This window comes from Homo sapiens, chromosome 2 (assembly GCF_000001405.40).
Source record: "Homo sapiens chromosome 2, GRCh38.p14 Primary Assembly".
Classification (NCBI taxonomy): Eukaryota; Metazoa; Chordata; class Mammalia; order Primates; family Hominidae; genus Homo; species Homo sapiens.
Window position 1 is genome coordinate 65,055,595 of NC_000002.12, and position 15,759 is coordinate 65,071,353.

Consider the following 15,759-nt stretch of genomic DNA (forward strand, 5'->3'; position numbering starts at 1 on the left):
GCCTGGGCAACACAGCAAGACCCCATCTTTGCAAAATAGATAGATAGATAGAGATGTATGAAAGTTACTAGGTCCCATGCTGGCAGGGGAGAGAGTGAGCACCCTGGCCTCCCACAAGCTGCCTCCCACTTCCCTCCGACTCCATCACCGATTTCCCATCAGAGCAGGCTGCTCAGAGTGGCTAAGTAGCTACCAGTTCATTTTCCACACCCTTCCCATTCTCCACGAGCCAGAGCTCCACCTCCCCCCAGAAGCTGTCTTCAACCACCCGGCCTGGGGAGCTCCCCTCAGCACTGGCTCCCCGCCCCGCCTCGCAGCACCTGTTCGGGCCTCGGTCGCGCCGCCGGGTCTTGCAGACGCGAATGTAAACAGAAACACAGTGAAAGGCGTTCGGAGAGCCTCGTGACTGCGGCACGGCGGCGAGCCGGGAACATCAGTGCGTCCAGAGCAAAATGAACGAATGTACGCATGACTCCTGGAGCGACCTTCACGAGGGAAAGCGCGCCCCCCGGCACCCACCCCTAAGCGCCCCAAAATGACCAGCCTTTACACAACCCAGCTCGCAGGCGAAGCTGAGGTCGGAGCTCCAAAAGCGAGGGAGGACAGCCGCTGAAGAAGTCCCGGCTTCCCATAGGCCAGGACGAAGTAGGGGGCGGGCTCATCTTGCAGGAGCGTCCACGTATTGGTGGAGCCGCGGACTTAGAGCTGCGATTCGCTGCGCGAAATTGCCGAAAGCCCTCCCGCGGAGGGAGAAGGGGCGGGAAGAAGGGCGTGGTCAGCGCGGCCGAAGGGCGTGGTTGGCGCTCGGTCCTGCCCTGCGCGTTTTGGGCTGCGGTTGGAGGGCCGCAGTTGCAGTCAGGGTCCGCCAGCTCGGGGCCAGCGCATGGGGCTGCTGAGACCGCTCCGGACGTGCGAAGCGTTCGCGGTGCGGTAGGTAGGCAGTGTCCCGCGTGCGGGTGCTGGTGTCGGGGGTGCCGCGGCGCTGGGGGCGGTGGCCCGGGCTAGATCCGCGCGCGCGCCCGGCCCCCTCCCCCGCGTCTCTTCGGTGCCTGCGGGGCCCTTGCGGTGCGGGCCGTCTGGCCTCGCGTCCCCGCCGGCAAGGGCACAAAGGCTCCCTGGGGGGCGGGGGCGCCTCGTGCCTTCGCCTCCATCTTGCGAGCGGAACGGCGTGTGCTGTGGCGGCCGAGGGGTCGGGGCCGAGGCGGGCGGCTGGGCTTGGGAATGCCCGGGCGCGGCGAGGGAGTGCGCGAGTCCGCGCATCTGGCGGCCGAGCAGCTGCGCCGCTGGTCGGCCTGGGCCCCGGGGGAGGTCACTTTCCCTCAGGCCTCTCCCGGGCGTGGGCTGTTTACCCAGCTCCCCAGTCGGGGCTAATGCAGCTCGGGCCTTTCCCCCTGGAAAGATGGAGACCAGTGATGTCTTCTTATCGCCGCGCCCAGATGCGGAGAGAAAAAATCAAGATGTCTCATTTTTTTTGCCTCGGAGGGCTACCCTTTCTAACTGTCATCACTAGAACAGTTCTCAGCAGCCTGGGGACGAATGTCCAAAACCTGTTCCAGGCCCTTGATGATTAGTAGGTTGGGTTTAGTGTATTGTTTGTAACAAAAATGAGCGGAAGCCTGCCAGGGCAGATTGGACCTCACTGGGAATTCATCAGGACCACGAAGGGAGGTAGCGTTTGTAAATAATCTAACAGTTCTCAGATCTAGGGTATGAAGAGTGTTGTGTTAAAGTGTGTAACAAAGGTTGTTGGGTCAGTTTGCCTTGGGTTTAGTTGAAAGATCTAGAAGTCACCACTTTTTACTTTGTTCCCTCCATTCCCCTTTCCCACCCTCTGTTGAGTCAATTCTGGCCCACTTAGAAAACAACAACAACAAAAAACCCAAGGAATTCAGTTTAACCTCTTTTGCGCAAAGCTTTTTAAAGCACTTCCCCACCCTGCGACTGATAACTCCTCCCTTTTTTGGGCTACCTTCTGCAGCCTCTGTTTTTACTCATCACACTGTATTGTGGTTTCCCCAGCCCCTAGCACAATGCTTGGAACATAAAAGGCACTCAATGATGGAAGGAAGCCAAAAGGAAACAAAATCAGCGTGGTAGTCTAAAGGTGACACAACAGAAACATTTATTTAACTTCTTGAGCGAGTTATTCTTACAGGTTAGGAAGGCAGCTAAGCTCAGGCTCTCTAAGTCAAACAGGCTTTAGCTCTGCCATGTTACTAACTCTGATTAATTTTTTTTTTAATGGTGATGGGGGTCTTGCCATGTTGTCCAGGCTGGTCTTGAACTCCTGGGCTCAAGCAATCCTCCTGCCTCTGCCTCCCAGAGTGCTGGGATTACAGGCGTGTCATTAAGTTATTTAACTTCTCCGTGCCTTGGTTTCCTCATCCTTAAAAATGGGAATAATAGTAGTACCTGTGTGGTGAGTTATTAGGATTAAATAAGATATTGATGTATAGTGCCTAATATAGTTCCTGGCACAAAGAAAATGATCAGTAGCTGTTAGCTGTTAGCAGTCGTTAGGAGAAAAATAAATGGATACTTGAATACACTCACCAATATGAAATATCTGTATAGTACTTGACCCTTCAGGATCTCTCTGTTTTTTGGTCCTTATCCGATCCCTTTTTTTGAGACAGGGTCTCACTCCATCACCCAGGCTGGAGTACAGTGGCATGATCTCAACTCACTGTGGCCTCAACCTCCTGGGGTCGAGTCCCTCTCACCTCAGCCTCCCAAGTAGCTGGGATCACAGGTGCACATCACCAGGCCCAGCTAATTTTCTATTTTGTTGTAGAGATGACGTCTCTCTATATTGCCCAGGCTTGTCTTGAACTCCTGGGCTCAAGCGATTACTGGCATGAGCCACGGTGCCTGACACCTTATCCGATGGCTGATTTTTTTCCTTTTTTTTTTTTTTTTTTTTTTTTTTGAGAGGGAGTTTCACTCTTCTTGGCCAGGCTGGAGTGCAATGGCACAGTCTCAGCTCACTGCAACCTCTTCCTCCCGGGTTCAAGCAATTCTCCTACCTCAGCCTTCCGAGTAGCTAGGATTACAGGCACCCACCACCGTGTTCCGCTAATTTTTGTATTTTTGGTAGAGACAGGGTTTCGCCATGTTGTCCAGCCTGGTCTTGAACTCCTGACCTCAGGTGATCCACCCACTTCAGCCTCCCAAAGTGCTGGGATTACAGGCGTGAGCCACCATGCCCAGCCTGATGTCTGATTTTTAAACATCCCTTTAGCCTTTCCTGATTCTCTTTCCACAGTGAAAGTATTCCGTAGAAGATTATCTGTTTATGTGTCTGGAGTCTCACCACCAACTAAAGATTGATTTGGTGCCAAATAGCAATTTGGCCAAGAGTTACAGTAGTACTTGATACATTCTTAACGGGGTCTGTTATCTGAAATGGTCATGTAAAATCAGAGGAGCTAAATAGATGGGGGCCTCATGTGGCTGACAAAAAATCTTTACCTGGTTGATCCATCCAGAAAGAAGCAGAGCTTATGGAGGTGGACTCTCCTTATAACTTAAATCTGTTCTCATGAAGAAACTGTCTCCTATCTTTAATGTTGTTCACCAACATCATGAAAAGCCCAAGAAATGTTCCTGTTGGCTTTAGACCTGTCTGCCAGCTAGAAGTGTCAGATACAACTCCTGGGGGACACTGCGTCACTTCCAGGTTTTCCTGCACCACTTTCTGGTTACAGGAAACAGGTTAAGTTGCACATTTCCTTGTAGCTGTAAGCTCCCTTGGCATATTGGTTTCTCTTAAATTATTTCCAGTTTCCAAAACAAATACCTTTCCCCTCCTCACTTGTAACTGGCACAGGAGAAATTCAGGTCTGTGATTCTGTTTTTAACATAGCCATCATGAATCTCAAATTCTTTCTAGGGAATACTATTATTTCTGGGGACTCCCTTTCAGCTGTGGTATTCTATAATTAGCCATTAAAAACCTGCCACAAGGTGTAAGCCTTTTCTAATGTCCTGTTGCAAAGGCCTTGAAGACAAGGGCCATAAATTTTCTTCTTGTGTGTGGCTGGCATATAGGCACCCAAGGAATGGTTGTAAAGCTATTTTAGTTGTTCCTTCTCAGGGTGCTGAAACAGCCTTACTTACCAACCCAGTGCTTCTGAAACATTTTTCTTACCAAGTCATCTGGAGATATTGCTAAAATGCAGGTTCTCATTCCAAGGTTCTGGGGCAGGACCTGAGAATCTGCATTCCCAACGAGCTCTGAGGTGATGCAGATGCTGCTGGTGCTGGATCACACTTTGATAGTGAAGTGCTAACCCTAGTATCTACATTTGCTTTTTAGAAGTATTGGGTAAATGGGTTTTATTTTCTTATGGTATTGGAATAAAATCTTGGGTTTAGGAGCTTTTTTCTATTTTTTGTTTTAACAATTTCTCTATCTTGTTAAAAAAAAACTATTTGAGGAATTGTTCCAACATACTTTGATGTAATAAGATTTTTAATAACAGCAATTGAGGCACATGGAGTGAAAAAAAAATAGGAGAAAGTCAAGGAAGAAATTAGCACAAAAAGGCAAGTACCTCTCTGTCCTATGCCTTTTACTCAGGTGAGATTGTGTATTTGGCCCTGAGCTTTGTAGCAGCCAAAGCAAAGAGGGAAATTTTTTTTTATCAGTTTTGCCAGTACTTATAAAGTGAAAATGTCTGCTGAATGGAGACAGCTGTTTCTGTTATTGAGGCCAGAGAATTCTCCCATGGCTTCTCCAAAGAGAATGCTATGGTACAGTGAGTGGCAATCTTAATAGTATCTCTTGAGAGCGGTAAGATTCTTCTCAGTCTTCATACGTGCAGCCTGATGACCTCACAAAAAAGTGTCAGGGCCGGGCACAGTGGCCCATACCTGTAATCCCAGCATTTTGGGAGGCCAAGGAGGGAGGATTGCTTGAGTTCAGGAGTTTGAGACCAGTCCGGGCAACATAGCGAGGCCTCGTCTCTTAAAAAAAAATAAATGAATAAAAATAAAAACTGTCAGTATAGTAAAAGCAGTGGTCTGTGGAAATGCACCCATGTGGTCCAGGTACAGCCTCTTCTGACAGTGACTTTTGTTATAAGGAAGGTGTTTTTCTGCTTTGCTCTTTAGTGAGAAAAAAGGTGCTGTTGATTGACATATTCAGCCCTCAGCATCCTTGTACATTGAGCTTTGTTACACATGGACACTCTGCTGACTGCTGAGGAGGCCAGAGAGCTTGGGGTTGAGGGGAGGAGTAGCTGGGACTCAGTCAAGCTCCTTGTAGATGTGACTTACATCTCTTTAAAGGCTATCTAGGTTGGGCGCAGTGGCTCACGCCTGTAATCCCAGCACTTTGGGAGGCCGAGGCAGGAGGATCACATAAGGTCAGGAGTTCGAGACCAGCCTGGCCAACATGGTGAAACCCTGTCTCTACTAAAAATACTAAAATTAGCCAGGCGTGGTGGTGGGTGCCTGTAATCCCAACTACTCAGGAGACTGAGGCAGGAGAATTGCTTGAACCTGGGAGGTGGAGGTTGCAGTGAGATAGCACCACTGCACTCCAGCCTGGGCAACACAGCAAGACTCCATCTCAAATTAAAAAAAAGAAAAAAAAGGGCTACCTAAAGACCTTGCCTTGTAAATGAGAACATTGGCCTTGCTGGGAGGCTGTCTGGTAGCCCTGGTCAGTCAGCCAACAGATAAGTGAGTGAGAAGGCGAGGGAACAGACAGCCAAGCAGCCTAGCCCACAGCCCTCCCTACCGCATTGATCTACAGGGACCCACTGGCTCCTCCTAGGGCCCTGGGAGATTCCTTCTGTTCTTTTGACTCTAAGCAAAACTTCCAGAAGCAGCCCTGGGGAGAAAAGAAGGGGCTCCCGGTGCCCAAGGATCCTGGGGATGGCCTCGGCCCATGGCCAAGCCACAGCAGACACAGTCTACCCTCCGTAGCTTTGAGTCTTTTCTTCATTTTCACTTTACTTTGATTTTACCTGCAGAGAAGGGGGACAAAGTGCTCAGAGTGACCTATCCCACAGTGAAAGACAGGGCTGGTGTGGGGGACTGTGGGGCTCCAGGGGGACTTCCCAGCAGGGCAGGAGCAGGTGGAGCAGCAGTTGCTCTTTGCTGCTGGCCTCCCAGTCTCAGGCCTCCAGCCACAGTTTTCCTGGCACCCACGCCACCCTGAAGCAGGCCTCAGTCACCTTTTGTGACTGGCCCCTTTGTTGGCTTCCCCTACGTGTCTTTACCTCCTTTCATGTGACCTCCCATGCCTGCTTGGCCTCTGCCTTTAAGCTCCTTTATTCCATAAATCTAGTTCCCCCAGAGTTCTTCCAGCAAGCTCTGCTGGGTCCTGCCTTCTGTTTCCTTGTGGACAGTTTCATGTTATTGGAGAAAGAGCAGCATGGAAAGCCTCTTTGGTTCTCTGGGCAGGTTCTGCCACTGTGTGTTCATGGCAATTATCACTTATTCCTGTGGCCTCCTGTGAAAACAGGTTTGGAGGTTTTGGCCCTGAACTCATAGGGCTTGCTCAGTCTAGCAACACCTGGCCTCTGTGGCTGGCACAGGTGACTGTGCGCTCAGGTAAGAGACGAGCCCTTGCCAGAACAGAGCTCCCTGGGCAAAGTTGGTATAAATGAGATTGTTTCAAAGGGAGCTCACGACTTAAAGAGTCCTGGCCAGGTGCGGTGACTCCCGCCTGTAAGCCCAACACTTTGGGAGGCCGAGGCAGGCAGGTCACTTGAGGCCGGGAGTTCGAGAGCAGCCTGGCCAACATGGTTAAACCCCGTATCTACTAAAAATAGAAAAATTAGCGGGGATGGTGGCACGCACCTGGAGTCCCAGCTGCTTTGGAGGCTAAGCCAGGAGAATTGCTTGAACCCGGGAGGCAGAGGTTGCAATGAGCCAAGATCTCGCTGCTGTACTCCAACCTGGGCGACAGAGTGAGACTCCATCTCAAAAAAAAAAAAAAAAAAAGAGGCGGGGCGTGATGGCTTATATCTGTAAACCCAGCACTCTGGGAGGCCTAGGCGGGTGGATTGCCTAAGCTCAGGAGTTCGAGACCAGCCTTGGCAACATATCGAAACCCTGTCCCTACTAAAAATACAAAAAATGAACCACGCATGGTGGTGCACGCCTGTAATCCCAGCCATTTGGGAGGCTGAGGCACAAGAATCCCTTGAACCCGGGAGGCAGAGGTTGTAGTGAGCCAAGATCGTGCCACTGCACTCCAGCCTGGGCGACAGAGCGAGACTCTATCTCAAAAAAAAAAATAGTCCTAGGGGAGGTCCTTTTTTGTTGAAAGGAGGATTGCTCTCTAGTTGATCATTCATCTGTTTGAGGGGTTTAGTCAAGAGCAAGAGCAGAGCCTCACCCCTCCCACAGTTCCCAGTCCTCCTCTCTCCATCTTGGACAGAAGTGAGTGGGAGGAAGCCCGGCAGCTGTGACAGGAGTGTCCTAGGGTGATGCAGCATATACGAAGAAGGGTCAGATGTCCAGGCTTAGAGTTTGTGTTACCACATGCATGATTTGTGGGCGTATTTTTACTGTAGGGCAAGAGTAAGCCAAGCCTACATCACTCCTAATTATATCTGGTGGATCATACAGCCTCTTCAGGTTCTGGAAACTAACAGAATTTTAATAGCAAAGTCCAGATGGTCCCTAGAATATCCTGAAGCTTATGTGGCTTGTCTCTTGGTTTGACAAAGGACAAGGCAGTTCTGTTGTGTACAGACCTTTCTCAGAGGGTAAGGTTGAGTTCACTGTCTGTGCTCTGATGTCTCCTGTCATTCAGTCCAACCTCCTGGCACTTCCTTCATTTGGGAGGCGACGGGGGCCTGTGCCCCATCATGGAGCTGCTAGCCTCCAGGAGCACTGTAAAATGTGTGATCCGAGAACGGGAGGCCCCACATTAGGAAATTGTTTAAAGCTGATGACCTGGGAGACTGTGTGGGTCCAAGACAACAAGCGCTATTCACCAGTCTGAGAAGGATAAGCTGCCTCTTATTAGAAGTGCAACCTGAATCTATCGCCCCCACCCCTACCCCAGAGGGTTAGGAGGAATGATGTGTAAAATCTCGGATCTATGGAAATGAAGACCAGACCTTCATGCAGTGTTACAGATGGCCACCGGCCAGATGCAGACAGGGTTGAGTCCTAGGAATCCAAAACTTGTGCGTTTATCATAGCCTGGGCCAGTGTTTTCTTCGGCATGATTGCTGTTTTAAAAGAGGTTTGTCTTCAGTCATTACTTCAGGAAGTTTTCCCCTATTATTTTTATCCCAACTGATTTCTCCCTTTCGTTGCATTTTGGTAACATTTCATAGACAGTTTTGAATGCATTATAGATTGGTTTTTATTTTCTTTCACATGTGTCTGTCTTGGTTCTCATAATAAACTTGTATAATAGGGGGGAAAAGCATGATTTGTCAGGCAGATTAATAAGATTATGAAGGGACTGTTTATCCAGTCTAAGAAAGTAACTACCTTCATTCCGTCTTTACAGACGTACAATTTCCTTGAAAATCATTGAATTTCAGATCTTCTTACCTGGTTGCTGAAGGGACTTTGGCCACACTACTAACCTAGTTTAGGTTTGTGTGTATCCTTGTAAGTTACTTAGGGATGTCAACTGAATAGTTTGTAATAGCTCACCACTCCCTATCTCTCCAGGCTAAATAGATACCTTCTTTTTTGAATAATGAGGTCCAGACAAGATGAATAAAAAGTACATGATCAAAACAAAGGGATAATTTGTTTGCACCCCTCCCTTGCCCCATCATCATCTTATTCCAGCACCTTGTCTCAAGATCGCACCCTTTAGTGAGAGGTGTGGGGAATCTCTAGCCATTGAGAGAGTTTTTAGAAATCGAGCAAGAGGCCGGGCGTGGTGGCTCACACCTGTAATCCCAGCACTTTGGGAGGCCGAGGCAGGCAGATCACGATGTCAGGAGATCGAGACCATCCTGGCTAATGTGGTGAAACCCCATCTCTACTAAAAATACAAAAAATTAGCTGGGTGCGGTGGTGGGCGCCTGTAGTCCCAGCTACTCGGGAGGCTGAGGCAGGAGAATGGCGTGAACCCGGGAGGTGGAGCTTGCAGTGAGCTGAGATAGCGCCACTGCAGTCCAGCCTTGGCGAAAAAGCGAGACTCCGTCTCAAAAAAAAAAAAAAAAAGAAATGGAGCAAGAAGTAGCAATTGGGAATTATGGGCTATACCCAGCCTTCACCCTGGTTTTTCTAGCTCACGGGCGCAGCTGTTCCCCTACTTATGAAAACAAAACTTGCCTGTAAACGTCTTCATGTGCAGTTTCTTAATGAGCCACAAGGTGAGGATGTGGCTCCGTAAGATCTCTGTCTCAGCAAGATTTGTCACTCTTCTCTTTGTCCCTCCACCAGTCTTCTCTCTCTTCTGCTTTGTGGCTTAACTGTTTGATCACTTATTCCCCAGTTGGCTCATAAACAGCTTGGGCTCTGGAGTTGGGCAGTCCTGGACTTGTCTCACTCAGAGGCTTCGTTTCCCCATCTGTGACGTGAGGATTAAAGACCCTGGCTCCCGTGGGAACTGGCCCTCACATGTGCTGGTGGAGTGTAGAGTGATACCACTCAGCAGAGGGCCACTTGGCAGTGTGTGCAAAAGCACCCTTCGCCTCAGCAGCTCTACTTCTGCAATTCATGCTGAGGATGTGCCAGCACAAATGTGTGTGCATAGTGACTCATCATAGCATTGTTTGGACTAGCAAAAAAGACTAGAAATAACCCAAATGTCCACTAATAAGGGACTGGTGAAATAAACTAGTGCGTCCTTACACCAGAATACAGTACTGGTCAGTAATGAAAAAGAGGAAGCTGTCTTTGTACGGTAAGTCCTCACTTGATGTCGTCAGTAAGTTCTTGGAAACCGTGACTCTGCCACTTGAAAGGACATATAACGAAACCAATTTTACCATAGTCTAATTGATATAAATAAGAGTTAAGCTCCTATGGCATATTTCTGGTCATGAAAGCATCACCAAACTTCTAAGTAAAGACTAAAACACTTTTAAATTAAATAGTGAAATAAATGTGAGCTGTACATACATTTATGAAAGATGAATAAAAACAAGTAAGATGAGCCAGGCGTGGTGGCTCATGCCTGTAATCCCAGCACTTTGGGAGGCCAACTAGGGCGGATCATTTGAGGTCAGGAGTTCCAGATCAGCCTGGCCAACATGGTGAAACCCCATACAAAAATTAGTCAGGCATGGTGGTGAGTGTCTGTAGTCCCAGCTACTCAGAAGGCTGAAGCAGGAGAATTGCTTGAAGCCAGGGGCCGGAGGTTGCAGTGAGCCAAGATCACGCCACTGCACTCCAGCCTAGGTGACAAACCGAGACTTCATCTTAAAAAAAAAAAAAAAAACACAAGATTATGATTTACCTGCTTACTCAAATGGGTTCAAGTTCGCAGGTAGCTGGAGCCTGTCCCAGCAGCTGAGGGTGTAAGGAGGGAACCAATCATGGGCAGGACTTCATCCCATGGCAGGGCACGCTCACTCATCTACCCACACTCAGACCAGGACCATGTAGTCAGCCCCATTCACCTAAGTATATGTTTTCAGGATGTGGGAGGAAACCCGAGTATCCAGATGAACTGGATATCATCCAGGCAGACATGGGGAGAATGTGCACACTCCATACAGACAGTGACCTCAGTCAGGAATCAGGGTTTCTTATCAATGATATAATGAAAAGACATTGGACCGGCTGGGCGGTGTGGCTTACACCTGTAATCCTAGCACTTTGGGAGGCTGAGGCGGGTGGATCACGAGGTCAGAAGTTCAAGACCAGCCTGGCCAAGATGGCGAAACCCCGTCTCTATTAAAAATACAAAAATTGGCCAGGCACGGTGGCTCACGCCTGTAATCCCAGCACTTTGGGAGGCTGAGGCGGGTGGATCATAAGGTCAGAATTTCAAGACCAGCCTGGCCAGGATGGTGAAACCCCATCTCTACTAAAAATATAAAAATTAGCCAGGTGTGGTGGTGGGTGCCTGTAATCCCAGCTACTCGGGAGGCTGAGGCAGAGAATTGCTTGAACCCAGGAGGCAGAGGTTGCAGTGAGCCGAGATCACACCACTGCACACCAGCCTGGAAGACAGAGTGAGACTCTGTCTCAAAAAAAAAAAAAAAAAAAATATATATATATATATATATATACACACACAAAAAAAAATTAGCTGGGCATGGTGGCACATGCCTGTAATCCCAGCTGCTTGGGAGGCTGAGGCAGGAGAATTGCTTGAACCAGGGAGGCGGAGGTTGCAGTGAACTGAGATCGCACCAGTGCACTCCAGCCTGGGCAACAGAGTGAGACTCTGTCTCAAAAAAAAAAAAGATATCGTACCAAGTGATGTTACTGAAGGACCTGCTGTATTGCTTAGGAATGAGCCCCTAGATATTTTTTGTAGAGAAAAGAAAACCAAGGTTCTGAATAGTATGACCTATACAGTTTGCTACTTTTATGTAAAAAAAAAAAGGGAGGGAAGGATAAGCCTGGTACAGTGGCTTATGCCTATAATCCCAGCACTTTGGGAGGTGGGTGGATTGCCTGAGGTCAGGAGTTCAAGACCAGCCTGGCTAACATGGTGAAACCCCATCTCTACTAAAAATATAAAAAAATTAGCCAGGCATGGTGGCGCACGCCTGTAGTCCCAGCTAGCCGGGAGGCTGAGGTAGGAGAATCGCTTGAACCCGGGAGGTGGAGGTTGCAGTGAGCTGAGATCACACCGCTGAACTCTATCTAGCCTGGGTGATGGAGCAAGACTCAGTTTCTGGGGGAACAAAAGTGGGGGAAGGATGAACATAGATATTTGCATCAGGAAACAAGGGTCATACACAAAACTAGTAAGGCTGGTTCCCTGATTTTGTGGGAGTATCTAGTAGTAAATATTTTGTTTGATTTGTATTTAAAAATGGGCTGCTTTTTCTCCCATTTGGCTCCTTTGTCCTTCCTTGTAAGGTGACCTGTTACACTGATTCTGTCCATGCCTCCCCATGACACTAATGACAACAGCCAACACTTAGTGTCCATACCATGCCAGGCACTGTCATAGATGTTCTGCCTGCCCTGGCTCATTTTGGCAAAGGAATGGGGGACAAGGGCGGAGAGAGACTTACATCTGCTGTGCATTTTACATTTGAGCTGTATATTACCTTTCAAAAATAATTTTCTGATTAGTTCCTGCCCCACCTGGTGGTTGTGGGAACTAGACGAGCGTCCGTGCGAAGGGCATGCTCTTCTCCAGGGTCACTTCTGAATCAGGCTGGAGCCTGGCATGCCCCATCAGGCAGAGTAGGGAAGGGCCCTCTTGGATTCCAGTGCAAGGCGTCCTCAGTGTGTGCAGTGCCCATCTAGGTGGTATTTCCCAGCGTGTGAGCTGAGTAAGATGAGCCCGCAGCCATTCCCCCTTTGCAGGCTCTCCACCAGCATCTCCTCTTACCATCTGTTTGCCTCCTGACTAAGGAAACAAGGCCATTTCTGCCCACATTTAAGCTTTGAGGTTGGCCCAGTGCACTCCGGGTGGCTGCCGACATCCTGGGCATTCACGGTTCCGTTACCTCCCCTTCCACATCCTCCCAGCATTGGTCTTCCTCCTGTTGGCTTTTTGGCCCCCTACCCCATCCCACCAGGGCTCTCAGCATCAACTTTTGCTGGCATGCTTAGGCTGAGGGTGATGTCCCTCTGTTGTTCCTGAACCTCTTTGTGTTGGAATGGTCCTGTTTGCAGATTCAGCTCCCAAATCATCATCCTTCCCTGAGTGCTCGGCCTGTGCTCCCTCGCCTGCCTGCCTGCTGATTGGCTCTTGCTCTCATGTGCACACATGCTGTGTTACACTTACCCTACCACTGTTACCCACCAGCTTTCCACAGCTTCCCTCCATCACCACGTGCAGCATAACCCAGGCCAGCCTGAGGAGAGTTGCTGATCTCTTTCTCTTTGGTCACTGGCCATCCTTGGAACAAGTAGCTCTCACCTGTTCCACAGGCTGGATGTGGTTTCTGTGCTTTGAGAGGGTCCCAGCCTGGGCAACATGGTGAAACCCTGTCTCTACTAAAAATAGAAAAATTAGCCAGGCGTGGTGGCATGTGCCTGTAGTCCCAGCTACTCAGGAGGCTGAGGTGGGAGGATCACCTGAGCCCAGGGAGGTCGAGGCTGCAGTGAGCTGAGATCATGCCACTGCACTCCAGCCTGGGTGACAGAGTAAGACCCTGTCTCAGAAAAAAGAAAAAAAGAAAAGAAAAGAGAGGGTCCTGCCTCCTCTGCCAGGCAGAGCCAAGCATCTTGGAGGGCATTCTTCCAGTGCCCAGCTGAGGCCTGGGCATGCCCTGACTTGCTGTTCTCTAGGATAGAACAGTCAGAGCCAGGCCTGAGTTGCTTGCTGAGGGGACCGTTACGACAACAGAACCACTATGGGCCTGTGCACAGGAAGGGTCCCACCAGGCCTCTTACCCAGTGGGGTTGGGCTAAAAGGGCAAAAAGGTGACTTAGGCAGGACCCCAGCCTTGATTGGACTTTGGACCTGTGTTGACCCTCTTGGGTTTCTGCTGGTGGGGATGGCACCATCCACCATGAAAGCAGAGGGGAAATGGTGTGCTTCTGTGTCCCCTTTGGAAAGGTCTGGGGCCAGGGAAAAGCCGGAACTCGGTGCTCCTCTGAGGAAGTAGTCACCATTTGTTTCCTTTTTTCTTTGACCAAAAATATGTTTGCCTTAATTGTTAAAGAGCAAGACTTCCTGAACACAGATGTAGAAGATTTATATTTTTCTCTCCCTTCCCCTGTTTTGTAGGAAGCTGAAGTCTTCAGCAGAACCCTGACCTAGGTAGGGAGTCTCAATGGCCCTGGGTGAAGAAAAGGCAGAAGCGGAAGCATCTGAAGACACAAAGGCCCAGTCCTATGGGAGAGGGAGCTGCAGGGAGCGGGAGCTGGACATCCCAGGGCCCATGAGTGGGGAGCAGCCCCCACGCCTGGAAGCTGAGGGAGGGCTCATCTCCCCTGTATGGGGGGCAGAAGGGATACCTGCCCCTACTTGCTGGATTGGGACTGACCCTGGCGGCCCCTCTAGAGCCCACCAGCCACAGGCCAGTGATGCCAACAGAGAGCCCGTAGCTGAGAGGTCTGAGCCTGCACTCAGTGGCCTGCCTCCTGCCACCATGGGGTCTGGAGACCTTCTGCTCTCCGGGGAAAGCCAGGTAGGTACTAAGGCAAGACTGTAGATGGACCCATTGCTGTCCTTTGGGAGTTTGTTCAGGATTTCCTCACCATCTTGCATCCTTTCCTTGCTACTGTGCAGGGTGAGGAATTGGAGGGGCCTGAGTATGATGATTTCTGTTTTGCGGGTTCAGCTAGAGAGCTGGGCCTCAGGACCGGCCGGGGGGACTGTCCACGGTTATCTCCTGTTCCTCAAGAGTGACTGGTGACTTTTTAAGGACCAGGGATTATAGGCCAAGAGGCTGCTGCCCAGAGGTCCAGGCCAGGGGAATTCTGGCAAGGAGAGCCCTGCCGTGTTTCTGACTTGGTGATTAAAGGCTTTAGGGGTACCCTGAAGAGACTTGGGAAAGGAGTGTCCAGGGCTTTGGGCTCCTGGGGGCTCTGAACCTAAATCCTCTTCAGACCCAAGGGACATGTCAGAACCTTGGAGCCCTGTAGTAGGCAGCACTGTCCCTGGTTAAGGAGAATTCCTTGGGCTTCTCTGACTGCCAGGCAGCTTCTCCTAGTGGGAGTCACATGGGGCAGGGAATCCTACCAGGTTCTGTGACTGCAGGCAAATCACCAGATCTTTCAGGCCCTCAGTATCATTGGGAGGTGACCGGAATGATCTGTTCTGCCCAGCTCTTACATTCTTTTCTGTTCTGCTTGCCAAGGCCTTTCCTGGGAATGGCTTTGATCTTCTCGGTGTCATTGTAGCCTTGGCTGCTGCAGGGTCCCCTTGTGGGGCTGCACCCTGTGAGGAGGCTCTGAGCGGGACTGGGAGAGAACAGAGGCTGGGCCCCACCTGCCTGGGAGCAAGGGGCAGTGGGAGGCTCTGGCACCTGTGAGTCAGAGATTCGGTGAGGCAGGAAGCGAATCATAAACAGACACAGAAATGGCCTTTCACGGGGATGAGTCCGGTGCTTATTATTAGAATTCCTGTTGTTCGTTAAGCTCTTACCATGTGCTTTGCACACATGGGTGTATTTAATCCTTACCTTCTGAGGAGCTGGTGCTATGAGGGGAGGAAAGTGAGGCTCGAAGTCATACATCTGGAAGGTGGCAAAGTTAGGGGCTGGCCTCAGGTTTGTCTGGCTCCAAAACCCATGTCCTTCAACACTGTGCTGTCCTGCTTCCCTCGGGGGTGAGTTCTTCATCAAGCAGATAAAAAATTCAGTGAAGAAGCTGAGATGAACCAGTCATTCTGCTAGTGTTCAGTTACCACTGGCGTGTGAACTGAGCAGGATGGGGTCTGGGGCGACCTCCTGGGTTTGGACGTGTCCTGTTAGCGACAGAGTGATTGAGGGTTTCATCTGCCAGGAGACGCTTCTCAGAGGTAAGGGACTGTTTTCCAGCTTCAGCATGACAGAGCTGTCTGAGTTCTGCTTGCTCACACCCTGGATACCTGTGGAGGAAGGAAGAACCTTGGAGAGGACTGGAGATGGGAGTCATCTTGCTTCCCAGACAGGCAGGGTCTCAGTGCTGCTGCTGGCAGTGCATATTGCCTGGTTCTTGCCTCAGGCAGCAGACTTTGCATTTTAAGGTCTTTCCTAA

At 50.0% G+C, this 15,759-nt stretch overlaps 1 protein-coding gene across 5 annotated transcripts in view, besides 9 other annotated features; it reads left to right on the forward strand.

The window, feature by feature from the left end:
* Positions 415–654: an enhancer, noted in NCBI's record as "active region_15925". NCBI's record gives its function as "activates an Ori minimal core promoter by ATAC-STARR-seq in GM12878 lymphoblastoid cells {active_cell/tissue: GM12878}" and the evidence as "EXISTENCE:reporter gene assay evidence [ECO:0000049][PMID:35858748]".
* Positions 755–864: a silencer, noted in NCBI's record as "silent region_11572". NCBI's record gives its function as "represses an Ori minimal core promoter by ATAC-STARR-seq in GM12878 lymphoblastoid cells {active_cell/tissue: GM12878}" and the evidence as "EXISTENCE:reporter gene assay evidence [ECO:0000049][PMID:35858748]".
* The window catches only part of CEP68 (centrosomal protein 68), a 30,589-nt gene continuing 15,651 nt past the window's right edge, over positions 822–15,759 (forward strand). For 4 of the 5 annotated variants that reach the window (NR_134966.2, NM_015147.3, NM_001319101.2 and 1 more), the window contains exons 1-2: positions 822–934; positions 13,805–14,207. Coding sequence is in view for 4 of the 5 variants with exons in the window: in NM_015147.3 (NP_055962.2) it covers positions 13,851–14,207 (357 nt within the window). In the remaining variant the exon portion in view is untranslated. The remainder of the gene's footprint in view (positions 935–13,804; positions 14,208–15,759) is intronic. The other variant, NM_001319100.2, reaches the window with a different exon arrangement.
* Positions 945–1,284: a silencer, noted in NCBI's record as "silent region_11573". NCBI's record gives its function as "represses an Ori minimal core promoter by ATAC-STARR-seq in GM12878 lymphoblastoid cells {active_cell/tissue: GM12878}" and the evidence as "EXISTENCE:reporter gene assay evidence [ECO:0000049][PMID:35858748]".
* Positions 1,915–1,964: a silencer, noted in NCBI's record as "silent region_11574". NCBI's record gives its function as "represses an Ori minimal core promoter by ATAC-STARR-seq in GM12878 lymphoblastoid cells {active_cell/tissue: GM12878}" and the evidence as "EXISTENCE:reporter gene assay evidence [ECO:0000049][PMID:35858748]".
* Positions 1,975–2,054: a silencer, noted in NCBI's record as "silent region_11575". NCBI's record gives its function as "represses an Ori minimal core promoter by ATAC-STARR-seq in GM12878 lymphoblastoid cells {active_cell/tissue: GM12878}" and the evidence as "EXISTENCE:reporter gene assay evidence [ECO:0000049][PMID:35858748]".
* Positions 5,587–6,088: an enhancer, noted in NCBI's record as "H3K4me1 hESC enhancer chr2:65288315-65288816 (GRCh37/hg19 assembly coordinates)". NCBI's record gives its function as "activates a minimal SCP1, AML or CMV promoter by ChIP-STARR-seq in naive H9 embryonic stem cells {active_cell/tissue: H9 hESC(naive)}" and the evidence as "EXISTENCE:reporter gene assay evidence [ECO:0000049][PMID:30033119]".
* Positions 11,974–12,742: an enhancer, noted in NCBI's record as "H3K27ac-H3K4me1 hESC enhancer chr2:65294702-65295470 (GRCh37/hg19 assembly coordinates)". NCBI's record gives its function as "activates a minimal SCP1, AML or CMV promoter by ChIP-STARR-seq in primed H9 embryonic stem cells {active_cell/tissue: H9 hESC(primed)}" and the evidence as "EXISTENCE:reporter gene assay evidence [ECO:0000049][PMID:30033119]".
* Positions 12,743–13,509: an enhancer, noted in NCBI's record as "H3K27ac-H3K4me1 hESC enhancer chr2:65295471-65296237 (GRCh37/hg19 assembly coordinates)". NCBI's record gives its function as "activates a minimal SCP1, AML or CMV promoter by ChIP-STARR-seq in naive and primed H9 embryonic stem cells {active_cell/tissue: H9 hESC(naive and primed)}" and the evidence as "EXISTENCE:reporter gene assay evidence [ECO:0000049][PMID:30033119]".
* Positions 14,278–15,044: an enhancer, noted in NCBI's record as "H3K27ac-H3K4me1 hESC enhancer chr2:65297006-65297772 (GRCh37/hg19 assembly coordinates)". NCBI's record gives its function as "activates a minimal SCP1, AML or CMV promoter by ChIP-STARR-seq in primed H9 embryonic stem cells {active_cell/tissue: H9 hESC(primed)}" and the evidence as "EXISTENCE:reporter gene assay evidence [ECO:0000049][PMID:30033119]".